This window comes from Homo sapiens, chromosome 14 (assembly GCF_000001405.40).
Source record: "Homo sapiens chromosome 14, GRCh38.p14 Primary Assembly".
Lineage (NCBI taxonomy): Eukaryota > Metazoa > Chordata > Mammalia > Primates > Hominidae > Homo > Homo sapiens.
In genome coordinates, this window is record NC_000014.9 from 85,642,272 (window position 1) to 85,657,581 (window position 15,310).

The 15,310-nt window shown below is 36.6% G+C and overlaps 1 protein-coding gene across 6 annotated transcripts in view; it reads left to right on the top strand.

Moving 5' to 3' along the window:
• FLRT2 (fibronectin leucine rich transmembrane protein 2) overlaps positions 1-12,157 on the top strand; it is a 124,285-nt gene extending 112,128 nt beyond the window's left edge. For all 6 annotated transcript variants that reach the window (NM_001346144.2, XM_047431176.1, NM_013231.6 and 3 more), the window contains one exon: positions 1-12,157. This exon is cut by the window's left edge and continues 21,133 nt beyond it. The gene's annotated coding sequence lies outside the window, so the exon portion shown is untranslated.
• The last annotated feature ends 3,153 nt before the right edge of the window (positions 12,158-15,310 follow it).

A 15,310-nucleotide genomic window follows, 5' to 3' on the forward strand; every position in this document is an offset into this window, starting at 1 on the left:
AAACCCAGAGCATTATAATGGGAATGTTAGGTAGGTTTAAATTATTCTGACTATACTGAACCCCCAAGTCCGATGAGCCTTCTTTGCCAGTAGAACTCCTTCATCTCTGTTATATAAGGTTGATTCTGCCTTTGTGGGGAGAACTAACTTACCTGAGGTAACTAATGTAAAATAGCTTGTTCTGATCACCTCACTGCCTCCAAGTCTAGAGTTAGAGCTCGTTCCCAGTGTCTCAGTAGGGCTTAAATATGAAGTATAAACTGGGAAGAAAAGGCTAAAATAACAACAAAAAAACGGCAATAGTTTGTTATTTTTTATCAGGAGAAATCTGCGGACTATGTATGGCAACAGACTCAAAGGGAGGTACACCAGGTAGGAAAAATCATAACCAGATTGGGCCATATTAGCCAATATGGGTACATATACTAGAGCCTGCATGCAATGAGCTTACCCAACCAGCTCAGAGTGATTATAATTGTTTTGCTTTCTGGATTGGTTGACTGAAATCTGGACTCAATGGTGAGTCACACTAATTGAAGTTGAGATGGAAGAAATTCCTTGGCATATTGTAGAATCTGAAATATAGGTTGTATATTTATTAGTCAGTTTGGACTGCTGTAACAAAAATACCATAGACTGAGTGGCTTAAACAATAAACATTTATTACTTCCAATTCTTGAGGCTGTGAAGCCCAAGATCAAGTTGCCTGCAGATCTGGTGTCTGGTGATGCTCCTCTTTTTGAGTTGTAAACAACTGCCCTCAGAAGGCTCTCTCCTGTCTCTTTTTATTAGGTCATTATTCTCAACATGAGGGCTCCACCCTTATGGATTAATTGCCTCCCAAAGGCCTCATCTTCAAACACTATTCCACTCGGGGCTAGGATGTCAACATATGAAATTTAGGGGCACATAAATATACAGTCCATAACAGGGAGATAGGAACATTGGAGTAACCCATCATATGATTCACTTTAATGTCTAAAAACATCTCATGAGAGAGTTCAGAGGGTATTTCTTTTTTTTCTTTCTTTCTTTCTTTCTTTCTTTCTTTCTTTCTTTCTTTCTTTCTTTCTTTCTTTCTTTCTTCCTTCCTTCCTTCCTTCCTTTCTTTCCTTTCTCCTTTTTCTTTTTTTTGTTTTGAGACAGGTTCTCTCTCTGTCACCCAGGCAGGAATGCAGTGGCGTGATCTCAGCTCACTGCAACCTCCGCCTCCTGGGTTCAAGCGATTCTCCTGCCTCAGCCTCCTGAGTAGCTGGGACTACAGGCGTGCACCACCACACCTGACTAATTTTTGTGTTTTTAGTAGAGACGGGGTTTCACCATATTAGCCAGGCTGCTCTCAAACTCCTGACCTCAGGTGATCCACCCGCCTCAGCTTCCCAAATCGCTGGGTTTACAGGCGTGAGCCATTGCACCTGGCCAGAGGGTGTTTCTTTAAGGCATTTATTAATGCATTGATGAGGACTCTCCTCTTTTAGATAGAGATGAAAGTGTAGATGCTGCCCACAAAATGTGCTCCCTGTTTAAGTGGGGTTGGTGGAATCCTGGAGTGACAGAGAACAAACGACAACATTTAGTCCAGTTGCAGCAGAGTGGTTGTGGTTTTTATTATAAGCATTAAAAGTATAGTAGTAGGAAACTGTGTTTAACCTGTTTTCAAGAATGGATAATTGCTCATTATAGCTTCATGAATAATATAGATGTTCAGCCAACTTAAGTTGTACCTGAATTGTGCAAATGAAGGAAAGATGCAGGTTTGGCAAATTGAAGCCAGACTAATTATCACAATGTAGTATCATTAACACTCACACAATTCCCAGATTCAAGGTGCAGCAGTGGATATTTCTAAGACGTCCTCATTTAACTTGATTTTTTTTTTTAATCTATGAAGTAGTTGGCTATGTTTTGGAGAATATACAATTAATGTAAGTTTACTCAGGTGGTAATTCCAGTTGCTATGGTTGTGGAAGATATGGTCTCTACTTAAACAAATTCAACTGAGCTATGGCATCTCCAATGCAACTGTCAATTTAGAAATTTCTTTCTTTTTATCTCAATAGGCAAAGAACACTAAAGTAGTCTGCTTTCACTTTCATTAACACGCCCCATGGAGATATCATGAATTACTCTCAGGCCCTTGATTATCTTATCATACCAGAGGATGTCCCACAGGTCTACAGCTTAATAACATCATGTGACTGAAGTGGAAGAACTGGAAGGAAAAGATAACCTAGAAACTCAGTAATTCACATGCATTCAAGAAGGTAGAAGAAAATTCTCACTAAAACTCAGGGACATGCCACCTTTTGCAAATTTCTGGGAGTTTAGTCCGGCATGTCTGGAAATCCTTTCCAAAGAAACTGGGCCTGTTCTTGATGGGCTCCCTGGATGTTTGAAGGCAACATATACTAGTTTTAGATGCGCTGCTTCGATACTTTGGATTCAATACTTAGTAATCCCTAAAGCTGTGAATTTGGAGTTTGTTGCTGAGGAAGAGTAGACTCTCTAGCTTTTCCAGGCTGTGGTCCAGGCTGCTGTCTTTGCTACTTGGTTACAATGATCCAGCAAATTCAACGGTGCATAAAATGTTTCAGGCAGATGGTCATGCAGTTTGTAAAACTTTGCCAATCTCGTAGGAGATTAATAGCGTAGAGCTCTGTGGTTCTGAAGCAAAATCATGCTTTCTTTCTTAGATTATTAATCTCCTTGTGAGGGACAGTTCTTGTCTTGCTAATAGAAATAGATGCCGAAAGAGGCTCAACTGTTGGCTATTGGATCCCGAGTAGTAATGCAACTGAACTGTAATCATGAGTTTTGATCAACCAACCATAAAGTTGAGCTTGGGCAGCAGAACTCCTACATCAAGTAAAAAGTATATATATACACACATATGTGTGTATGTATATGTATACCTATATATATGTATACATATGTATATATGTACACATGTGTATATATGTATATACATATATGTATACATGTGTATATATGTATACATGTGTATATATGTATATACATATATGTATATAGAAGTATATATACACATATAAATGTGTGCGTGTATATATATATGATTGGCTGAGTGCTCTATTTGTTGCTTGAGCAGGTGTTCACCCTCCCACATAAATTCATCCTACTTAATTGGCACTTTTTCTTCAACCCATACCTGCTTCTCAGAGAAACTATAGAGAAGAGGAAACTTCCAAGTGAGCAGGTCTTTGAATGGTACATCTATTTGTTCACTCTGCTTGGAAACAAAGGTTTCACTAAGCATGGATACAATTTGGATCATTGGTAATAAGGAGACTTAGGGAAGAAATACGTGTTAAGGATTGTTCATAAGTGGCAGAACCTATGAGAATATTCATGCCACATGTTATTTCTTTTCAGAAGATCTTCCTAGTTGAGGAATCTTTCAGAGATTCAGTAGATAAGGTGATCTATTATATGGATGTCAAGCTGTCCTTTTCCCCAGCCACCCTCCTCACGTCTTGCTCAATGACTTCATGAATGAAAAGTTTATGATAGCAAAGATGTTGGTAACATATGCATTCAACAACATAGTTCATTTGGTAGAGTCAATACTGAGTACCTAAGAGCCCAATTCTGATACTCTCATATTGCACTATTCACTAGGAGGTTCAGCAATCTATTTAGTGGCAGGTGGTGACAGTGGATTTCTTCTCTTATGGAAAGGACAACTATCCATATTGAAATAGACAATTACTCTGTATATAGATTTGCCTGCCTTGTAACCATGCCTTTGCATCTGTTTACTTACTTAATGGGACATTATTATGGTGACCCATACAACATCACTTTTAAACAGTGGATTTATTTATGGCACAGAGGTTAAGAAAATGAACTCAGGCCGGTAAGAGTCACTGTTATCATTCACCACAAGTTGCCTGAAGCAACCAGCCTTTAAAATACTATAATGGACTGTGGAAAAATCAGTTAGAGTGTCACTTGGATGAAGCTGTAATTGGAAGTTGAGGACACTGTCATTCAGAATAAGATGTATGATCTGAATTAGTGGCCAATACCTGGCCCTTTTTGTCTGTAGTTAAATGTGATGTGAGGAAATACCAAAGCTCATGGTAATCTCAGATGTCATTGGACAGAGAAGCTCACAGACCAAATTAAGATGCTGAAGTCAGATGACTTATGAATCAATTTAAAACAAATCATGAGAAGGAAGGGAGGAAAGGATGAAGTAGGTTTGCAGTCCTCTTAGAAGAAGGTAAAAGTGGGTAGAATGGACCATAGTACTTGAATCTTGAGTTCAGAATCAGATATTCTTCCTCCTTGGCCTCTTCTGTTTCAGGGCTTCTCGAATTTTTTTTTCTTTTATTTATTTTTTGAGATGGAGTCTTGCTCTACCACCCAGGCTGGAGTGCAGTGGCACAATCTTGGCTCAATGCAACCTCCTTCTCCCAGGTTCAAGGAATTCTCCTGCCTTAGCCTCTCGAGTAGATGAGATTGCAGGTGCCCACCACTACACCCAGCTAATTTTTGTTTTTTTTGGTAGAGATGGGGTTTCACCATGTTGGCCAGGCTGGTTCTGCCTCTTGACTTTATCATCCTTCCTCTCTGATGGTATGGTTATGTGGACCAGAACTGAAGTTTAAGGAAGGGGCTTAAGATATGGAAGTTGCCTGGGACCAACATACTCTGTCCAAGAGACACAGTGACACATACATGCACAGCTGACCAAAGCTATAGCTTCCCAATTACTTGATGAACAGCTATGAATGTTGTTTCTTTTTCTTAGACAAAGTGCATATCTGCTCAAGATGGATGTCACTAATGTGCAACTGATCCACAACCTCATACAATTTTAGTATCTCATATGCTTCGTGTACATGTCATGTATGAAGGTGCCTGAGGTACCCCATGTATATATAGCATGTTATGAATGTTAGGCATATTTTGGTCTTTCCTTTCTATCTATGTTTAGTATGCACAAGACATACTTATTTTACCTTTGCTTAATATGCCTTATAGTTTACTAACTTACTTAACAGAGGAGTTTTGTTTTCTTGTTATCTGTAGCAGAATTGAATGTTGCCCAGCAATATAATATATGTAAATCATACCAAATTATATGTGTTTAAAACTCAAGGGATGGAACTGGGAGAGATAACACTCATTTTTCACCTACGCATCACTCACAATATTTAGCTCTCCTTCCACATGATGTTGGGATATGATGGCTTAGAAGTCTTACTAGTCAATGGAAGAATGTTTCTCTTCCAAGAGGACACAACAATGATTCATTTGAACTCTATGATTGCCACTGAATAATTTGGTCTTTCCATGCCTATAAGCAAAGAAGTTACGTGTATTAACTGGAACAATTGGTCCTGATTATTAAGGAGAGTAAGTTTTTCCTACAAAGAGATGTATGTATGGGACCCAGGGAATTTTACAGAAACATCTCTAAGAACTTCCATGCTTTTTTGTCAAGTTAAATGGACAACTATCGCAACCACATACAGGCAGAACCACTAAGAGTAAAAACCCCTCAGGAATTAGGATTCGGGTCACCCTGCTTGGCAGAGCCCTAATTAGTCACAGTGCTAGGTGAGGTCAAAAGTAATATGAAATAGGAAGAGGATAAACAGTGTCATAAACAACTGTGATCTTATGGCCAGTTGCAGAGTAAGAAATTAATAACTACTCCTGTTCTCTTCTTTGCCTTGTTATGCATGTACTGACTTTTTACCTCTTTCTTTTTCCCTACAATTTTATAAAAATGGTGATACATTTGTAATTTGTCCCTCAAATTACAGACTATCAGCTTGAAACTATGATTGGAATTGAAGGTTAAAGAAAACCCAGCTATAGATTCAGTGACTAACAAAATTTGGGGACAGTGTAAGCCTCATTCTAATTGCATAAGGAATAGTTACTGTATGTTAGGCAGGTGCATGTTGTTATTGCTACTTTTTTCAAGTCTAAGTTCTAGGTACAAAGTGTACACTGTACTGGATTTAGTATTTGACATCTATTTTCACATCCTTCTAGGAGTCATCTTGTACTAAAGAAGCTGTAAGCCCACATGTGCATTTCCCAGAGTCCCTTGTTGCTAGGGGGCTGAATGCGAACGAGGTTTCACCATTAAATATACTTATACATTTGGAAAGGCAAAAATGAGGCAGAGGCCATCTTTGTGTTGCTGGTTTGATTAGCAAGTTTGCTAAGACATGAGTGTCAAGGGAAGTTGAGGTGGAGATGGTGGCTATATGGTGCAGCTGTTTTCCTGATTCCCAGAGAGCAATCACTCAGATGTGCTCTTGTACTTAATACTTCCACTGGCAGTCCCTTTTCTTTCCTCTTTTAGTTCTTCCTATAATTTTCTAAGTGTATAATTGCCCATTTTCCCTAAATACCTAGGTAGGTTTTATTTCCTAAACTGGACCTCTTACCAAACACAGATGAGATGTACTGTCTGCCACCCTAACTGCCCATAGGACTCCACCAAGGATGCCAACTCTAAGTGGTCATTTACCTCTGTGATTGTGTTTTTAATGCCTGCCTCCCATTAAGTTATAAGATCCAGGAATTTAATAATTTATTTTGATAAGGACTTAACACAATGCTTGGCACATAAGAGGAATTAAATAACATTTTTCTGAATGAATAGATTTTAAACCATGTGTGAGCAGTCACAGAATTCACTGATCTATTATAATTTACCAATTCCTTTGCATCATAGCACCCATGCAAAATATTTTGGCTACAGGGAGTGCTCCAATTTTGATACTCTCCCTGTCAATATGCCTATTACCCCAATATAATTTAAGATTGACAGGGAGAGCATCAGTATTCTGCAGTCTGATTGCAGAAGCATATATGTAAAAATATACCTTTTAGAAATGATTTTAGAATCTGGAAATTTACAAACTATTAATTTTCTTTTCTACAGTTTCCTCCAGAAAGCCCCTATGTATTTATTCCGGTTAACAATTTTACTTGAGTAGAAATCACTTGACTCAAATTTTGATGATTTAATAGCTCATTGAAAGAACTAGCCTGAAGCAGATAAAATATGTTGCAGATGCTGTAACTCTTATTTGCATCCATTGGTCTTTTGGTTTATGTGCTTTAATAATTTGAAAAACAAGAAGATAATCAGGAACCAAGATGGATATGTGTGTCTTGAGGCAGAACTTAATTCAAAATTGTTCAGTGTTTTGTCAGATGAACTCCTTAACCACATTTGTTATCAGTAGCACACAATATATTGGATTAAGTTTTTGAATGATGTGCAAAGATGATGCCAGATTGATCCTAACAAACATAAAGCTCAGAATCAAAACCAGAATGTTGTTTTGATCATACTGGTTTTAGGCAAAGGATTTTAAGATAAATTCTTTCATACTGGAATTTGTGATACTATCCACACTTTTCCTCACTATAAAATTTAATGAACCTTATATCATTAATATTTTTGTGTCAATGGTGAGTTCTTCTTTTTTCTTTACCTGAGTTGTATCAACAGTTTCAAAGGAGAGAGAGTGTTTTTGGTAAAGGCAATAAATTATTTTTTAATGTACATCTTATACACATAAAATACTTTCTCATATTCTGAAGAATGAAGCATTTCTGTCCTAGGTGATTATAAAGTTTGTTGCTATAGTATTTCATTATTTTTTATTAGAAAATATTTTAATAACACAAGAAAGTAAAGAAAGTAATACAAGGAACACTCATGTACACATCAACCAGCTTTGTCTGAAATTAATATCATCCTAAATTTGCTTCATTGCTTTTATTCATTAAAAATTACAAATACAATTGAAGCCCTTGAACCCCTCACCTGTCACACTATCCTCTTTGCTTTGTCAAATACTTACTACGTTCATATGTATTGATGTACAGTATAGCCTTATTTTACGTGTTTTAAATTTATACATAAACAATTTCAAACTCTATGAATCATTCTACATTTTGCTATTTTGTGTTCAATATCCTGTTGTCGAAACATTTCCATGTTCCTTTAATTCATTCATTGGCAATACAGTATAATATGTTATTGTATAGATACATATATATTTAAAATATATAGGTATTTTAATTTTACTGTATTATATTGTTGAACATTTCCACTGTTTTACATTTTTTAGTATCATAAACTATCCTTCAATGAACACTCTTTTAATGTCATCTGGTGTCAGGTATGAGAGTTCCTAAACACACACAGTGTATCTAGAATTTGAATTGCTAAAATTGAACATTCAATTTTCATTTTTAACTTTACTAAATACTGTAAAATTGTTCTCTGTGTGCCAATTTTCTTTACCACTGGTAAAATGTGAGTTTCCACTTTCACATGCTTGCCATTTCCTATTGCAAAACATTTAAGTATTTATGTTTGTGATAAAAATGGAGTCTTATTTTGATTTTAATTTGTACTTCCCCAGTTCCTGTTGTGTTTAAGTTTGTTTTTTATTTATTTATTATCTGTTCATGATTTTCTTCATTTTTTCTCTTACTGGTTCATATTCTCTATACATGCTGAATGGTGTTAGCTAGCTATATTCTTTGCAATAATTATTAAAATTTTCTTTTTCTTTTCTTTTTTTAAGAGACAAGGTCTTACCCTGTCATCCAGGCTAGGATGCAGTAGCACGATCTTAGCTTACTGTAGACTCCAACTCCTGGGCTCAAGAGATACTCTCCTGCCTTGGTTTCCTAAAGTGCTGGGATTATAGGCCTGAGCCACTGGCCTGTTTTGTTTTTCTTAATATAAGGCTATACATTTCCCTCTAAGAACTAATTTAGCTGCCTCCCTCAATCTTTTATATGTAATTTTAAGTTAATATTCAGCTTTAAACTTTTCTAATTCAATTATCTTTTTTGATTAATCAATTGTTTAGGATAATGTCTCAAAACTTTTTTGGTATATAGATATCTTTAATTACATATTTCTAAATTATTTTCATTTAAGTCAAAGGACATAGCCTGGAAAGTATTCGTTTGTTTGTGTGTGTGTGTGTGTGTGTGTGTGTGTATTTGTTGTGATTTGTTTTTATGTTTTAGCAATTTGGTCAGTTGCTTTAAATTAGAGATTTTGCCTGATTGTTATCTACAGAATTCTATGCAACTCCATTACATTAAGCTAATATCGCTTCATTTTATCTCTCATCACATTTTGTTTTTGTTTGTTTGTGCTGTGAATTATTGAGATAATGGGTTAAATGTATGTGCCTGTGTCCATTTATTTCAATAATATCTTATACTATGACTCTATATTATTAATTGGGAAGATTTTAGAATACTTAACGTATGTTTTCTAATTAAGCAGTGACCCACTTAATTTCTCAGAAGTACATTTTGTTTTATTGCTTTAAACTCTATTTTGATTGTTTTTAATCTGATCATACAGACTTTTATTTTGGCTGATATTTTCGTTACTTTTTTCTTATTTTTATCCTTTCTATGTCTTTATGATTAAATTGTGTGCCTTACAAGGAGGTTTTACTTTTTCCCTCAATGGATTTGGAAGATATATGTTCTATTTTTATTTCTGTTGTTGGTTTCCTGAAAATCTCAGCATGCATATTTGACTTAAATTCTAAAATTAATAAACACTTTCTTAATTTCCTGAACAATAAAAGGAATTTCAAACATATTATTGGTCATCATCACCTGCCTATTAAATATGCTTTCCCACTAGGGCTGGGGCTAATGGAAAATACATCTTAAAAAGTCTTCTGTGTAAAACATGGGACTCAAAACAACACTAGGAAAATAGCGTAGATCAGATAATTCTCATTAAATCAGCTGTTTATTAAAAAAAGCAATGAGCAAGGAACAACAAAGTCTCCTTAGGAGGCAAAACAAAGTATTATTAAAAGTATGTTTGATGTTGCTGAAGATTCTTTCATAAACATATTAAAGTCAATTATAATTCTGTTTTTAATGACCTTATTAGCTCAGATGATGTTTTAATGATTTGAGTTTATGTATTATTTGAAGAATCTCTAAATAGCACTATTAAGTGCTCTGATATGCAGTAATATTTATATTGAGAAGCAACTTTTTTAATTGTTTGGGGAAAGACTTCTATTTCTTATGACATGCTTCCTTTTCATTGAGGAATACCCAAGATACCAAGTTTTCTTTCAGAAGTAATTTGCATTTTCCACCTTGAAGTTGTATTTGCCATTTTGTTTGTTGCCATAGGAAAATTCTTTTTTGAGAATTTTTTTCTTATAACGTTCTTCATCTGATTAAACAAACAAAAAACCCATCTTTATTTTTAGACTAAAAGCCTTTGAATAAAATATTATACAACTTTAAATAAATTTAAGATGACATTATGACTTATTAGGCCACAGTTAAATATGAGCTTCATCTATTAGTGAGTCAATCATAGGATTTTCACACATGGCTTTTGTTCACAGTAAGTTATATCAATTAAGTTGCTTAGAATGAACATATAGCTGAACTAATAAGCATGAAATATTTTCACTGATTTATAAGAATCCAGAAATTATCAATGAGTTTTCTTTTTCTATTATTTAAAAAAGTTTTTGCTTGGCAAATCTTCCCCTCTAGGAGATTAAAGTATTTTTTGCTCATTAATCAATGTAAGAACACCTTACTTTACATTCATTGAACTCTGAGGTTATAGAACTGTGAACTTTTCGATTTGTTCGGCTTGGGGAATGTCATAGTTCATTCTGTGAGTGGAAGTTGCCTTTAACCACATGAGAACAAATAAGGGAATATTAAGGTTTTAACTCAAGGCAGCTGATATGCAATGGCTGGGATAATGGCCATTACCTAAAAGAAAGAAGGCAGCAAATGGTTCCAGACATTTATAATTATGCATCTGAAGTCAGAACACCTTTTCTTTTTAAACATTTTCAATTTGTGATCTGCTTGAGGACTTGTACATAGATAGGCTCAAGATATTTTGAGTCACATATGTAAATGAAATGTTTTGAGCAAAGTTGTAACCCTGCCCACAAAATAGCTTTGCTAGGGAACAGATGTAACTTGGAGAAGTACCAATTTTGTCATTCTAGATGAGAAATCTTCTGGTGCCATCAATGGGATGCAATTTGGCTAGTCACACCTGGGTGACCAATATCCGGAGGCTCTACGTCAAGTCATTGAACATGGATGGATGCTCCATTAAGTCATTTAAAATAAACTTCCTAGCAAGTGATCTCTAGCATCTCAATTTAACTGTATCCTTTGGAGATTTAAGGAAAACTGACAAAGCTAAAAATACCTCTGCTAGGGGATCTATTAGTATTCTCCACATTGCTACTGAAACTTGCTGCCTTTTCCTAGAAGCACATGAAAGAAACCCTGGTCCAAGCGAACTGTCTCCTTCACCAAAGCCACCTTGGAGAGAGCCCACACGGAGACTGGAGATGTAGACTATTAAGAGCACTCAGCCACAGAGTCACTTTGGTTGTGTCACTTAACCTCTGTGCTCTTCTAAGCTCCATTCCTGGCTTGTGTTGCAGGGATGTTTTGAGGATATGTTGATGTGTGTGACTCCTTCTCTGTGTGTTGCTATTAAAGACATTAAGAACTGAGCTGAGTAACAAACTTTCTAGAAATGAATGAAGAAAACATAGCAAAATTATACCTATTTTTTTAAATTGAAGTACAAAGAAACTGTAGCTATAATTATCTTTCTTGACACTAACAGTACATGATTCCTAAATGCTATTGCTCACCTCAAGTCAATGTCACTTTGTATTAATGGATTTAGTGTCATGTATGGTCTTGTTTTTTGAGGTCGTCTGATGAAATCAGAATGATTTCACTTAAGGCAAGGCATATTAAAATACAAATTCGTAAAGATAATACCTTGATGTTTATGTCTATGCCAAACTTGCTCTGCTGAGTTCCTGGTGGAATGAAAAGACTGTCTTTTTTTAATTGTGATTTGTTTATGACTAACAGCATGGATTTGAGACAGTTATGAAAATGCCATGGTATCATTCTGTAAATAACTTTGTCTATGTAATTGTAGTGTATACTTATTATTGACAACTTGAAGAAAGTACATAAAGTACAAAATAAAAGTTACCCATATTCTTATCAGCCAGATCTAACTAATTTTACCATTTTCATATCTCTGTGCATACTCTTAATAAAAAATGGTATAATACATTTAAGCAGATTTGCATCCTACTTGAGCAATTTATTTTTATAAAATATGCTTTTGAAACATAATATTTTATCTTATTAATGTAACAACATTTATTTAATTGGGGGTCCAATGAAGGGTATTAGATGTCTTTTTTCAGTATCATATATAAGGCAATATGTACATTGCTTTGCTTGTGCATTTCAATTAGGTGGAAAAATTGAGCAAAGGAATTTGTAAGCTTTTATTTTACACTGTCATATTCTTTCAGTGAAATTTGTACTACTAACTTACAGATTTACCTGCAGTGTATGGAAACCCCAATTTTACTGTATCCTCAACATAGCAATGTTAATTTAACAAGGTAGGAGATGTTGCTGATGTCTTCTTGGTAAAATCATTAAACAGACTTCAACCAGATGTTGAAATAACACCTGGCTATTAACAACCGTTAAACAAATTGAAGAAGCATCTTTAAACTCAATCCTGAAAGCTCTTCCTCAAGATTTGAAAAGCTGTAGGCAAGAGAAAAAGAAAGAACGCATTAATTTTGGAACCTAGGGGTCCATATGCTGTCTACAAATCAAACCCATTAGCTTTGCTTACCTTATGGTTTGGCTATCACGTGGAAATAATCTTGACTGTCAAGAAAAGATAAAAGTGTACATTAAAAATACATTGCACCTTATCTCACGGAAGCAGGTGAAGAGGCTTTCATTCCTTAAGCAGATTGACTCTACCTTTTGTTGCTCGTGTTTAATGGGGACTCAACACAAATGCTAGCAACATGCGATCTGAGCATGCTGTTCTAGGAGCAGTGTCTGCCATCTGTTTGGGCTAAATGGAACTGGCCCAGCCCTTGCTTCCCTGCCCCTGAAACTTGACTATTGGAATTTAATTACATGGTTATATGATTAAATCCAGTAGATGGAAAGGTTAGAGCTAATGTCCCCAGAGGTGAAGCAGGCCCCAGGCCTCTGAAACAGCTGGCATCGGGGAAGCAAGCTCCTTCCTAGCACACAAAGGAAGGAGAAATAACAAACTCTTCTGAAGGTGATGCTGGTTTTATTTTATTACCTGTAGTGTTATTGAGAAAGAATTTCAAGCTCACAAGTCCAGAAAGTGATTTGAAAGCCTTTATAGTTTTAAAGTCAAAATACCCAAACAACATTGTTTCTCCTGATTTCGCTCTCCGATCCTTTTTGCTCTATTTGAATAATTTTGAGAGCCTGGAAAATCTGGACATATTTTCTGAAGGTTAAGGAATTAGGAAAGCAAAAGAGAATCTGGGATTCATTTCCAGTAGATGAGTTGTCTCTTTCTAATGTCCAACAACTTAATGTAGTGGTGGTGTCAGCATCAAGATAGATATTTCCTGATGGATTTTGACCTGGATAGTGAAATTCAGCATACTTTTAAGAAGCCCCATCAGAAGTCAGCAAATGAAGAGATACCAGTTTTGCAAACAATCTCCTGGATTTTAGAAGGCAATGCTGTCCTGGATTTTACAATACTGTGCTACACAGAGCATAGCAAGAGGTAATACAGTCCAGACTCAGAAGGCTAGGATTTGCATTAGAGAGCAAAGCCTAGCTCTACCACTTCCTGGTGTTAGCAAATTACTTGACCTCTCCTCAACTCAATTTTCTTATCTGTAAAATGGACTAATAATAATATCTGCCTCACAGAATTGTTAATCAGGATTAAACTAGATAGTTACAGCCAGATGTGTATAATAGAGCATTTTTAAGTCTAAGTTCTTACTGCTGTTAAATCAGATGATGGGCTGGGCGTGGTGGCTTACGCCTGTAATCCCAGCACCTTGGGAGGCCAAGGCTGGCGGATCACCTGAGGTTGGGAGTTAGAGACCAGCTTGACCAACATGGAGAAACCCTATCTCTACTAAAAATACAAAATTAGCCAGGCGTGGGTGGCGCATGCCTGTAATCCCAGCTACTTGGGAGGCTGAGGCGGGAGAATCGCTTGAACTCGGGAGGCATGAGGTTGCGGTGAGCTGAGATCATGCCATTGTACTCCAGCCTGGGCAATAAGAGCAAAACTCTGTCTCAAAAAAAAAAAAAAAAAATTCGGATGATGGGAACTTTGATTTTTTTCTCCTGATTCTTCATATAGTTGCAAAATATTCCTTTCTTAGAGGTCTATGAAGTACTTCTATGGCTCTTTGACAAATTCTCCTCTACATGAACAGAGTATGTTGTGAGAATTCAAATTATCACGTGGATTTATGGCAGTGTCATATGAACTTCTAGCCACAACTGTGGAATTTGCAGCATCATTTTGGTGATAAAAAAAATATTTTGGCCAGGAGAGATTAATAGAGAAGGAGGCTGTGTTACTCAGAATCCTTCCAAATCCTCATTTCTCTTTATATCTTCGTTGGTTTGGCTTTCTTTCTTTCTTTCTTTCTTTTTTTTTTTTTTTTTTTTTTTTTTTTTGATGGAGTTTCGCTCTTGTTACCCAGGCTGGAGTGCAGTGGCACAATCTCGGCTCACCTCAACCTCCGCCTCCCGGGTTCAAGTGATTCTCCTGCCTCAGCCTCCTGAGTAGCTAGGATTACAGGCACATGCCACCATGCCCAGCTAATTTTTGTATTTTTAGTAGAGACGAGGTTTCACCATGTTGGCCAGGCTGGTCTCAAACTCCTGACCTCGTGATCCATCTGCCTTGGCCTCCCAAAGTGTTGGGATTAAAGTCTTGAGCCACCGCGCCTGGCCAGTTTGGCTTTCTTGAATTCCAAGGCATTGGACACTTGTTACTTTTGTTTACAAAAAGCTTATTCACAAAGGATGGGGCAATTTACTGCTTGCACCTGGGAAGCTGTGTCTTTGCCAAAGCAACAGTAACTTGCTGAGATTTAGGCCAAGGGGGAGGTGTGACATGCATATTAACTCCTTCTGTGACTACTGAGATAAAAGGGAAAATAATCTTTAAATGCAGAATGACACAGTCATGGCCAGGCACCCTGGCTCACGCCTGTAATCCCAGCGCTTTGGGATGCCTAGGCAGGCGGATCACCTGAGGTCAGAAGTTCGAGACAAGGCTGGCCAACATGGTGAAACCCTGTCTCTACTGAAAATACAAAATTAGCCGGTCCTGGTGGTGCATGCCTGTAATCCCATCTACTTGGGAGGCTGAGGTGGGAGAATCGCTTGAACCGGGGAGGTG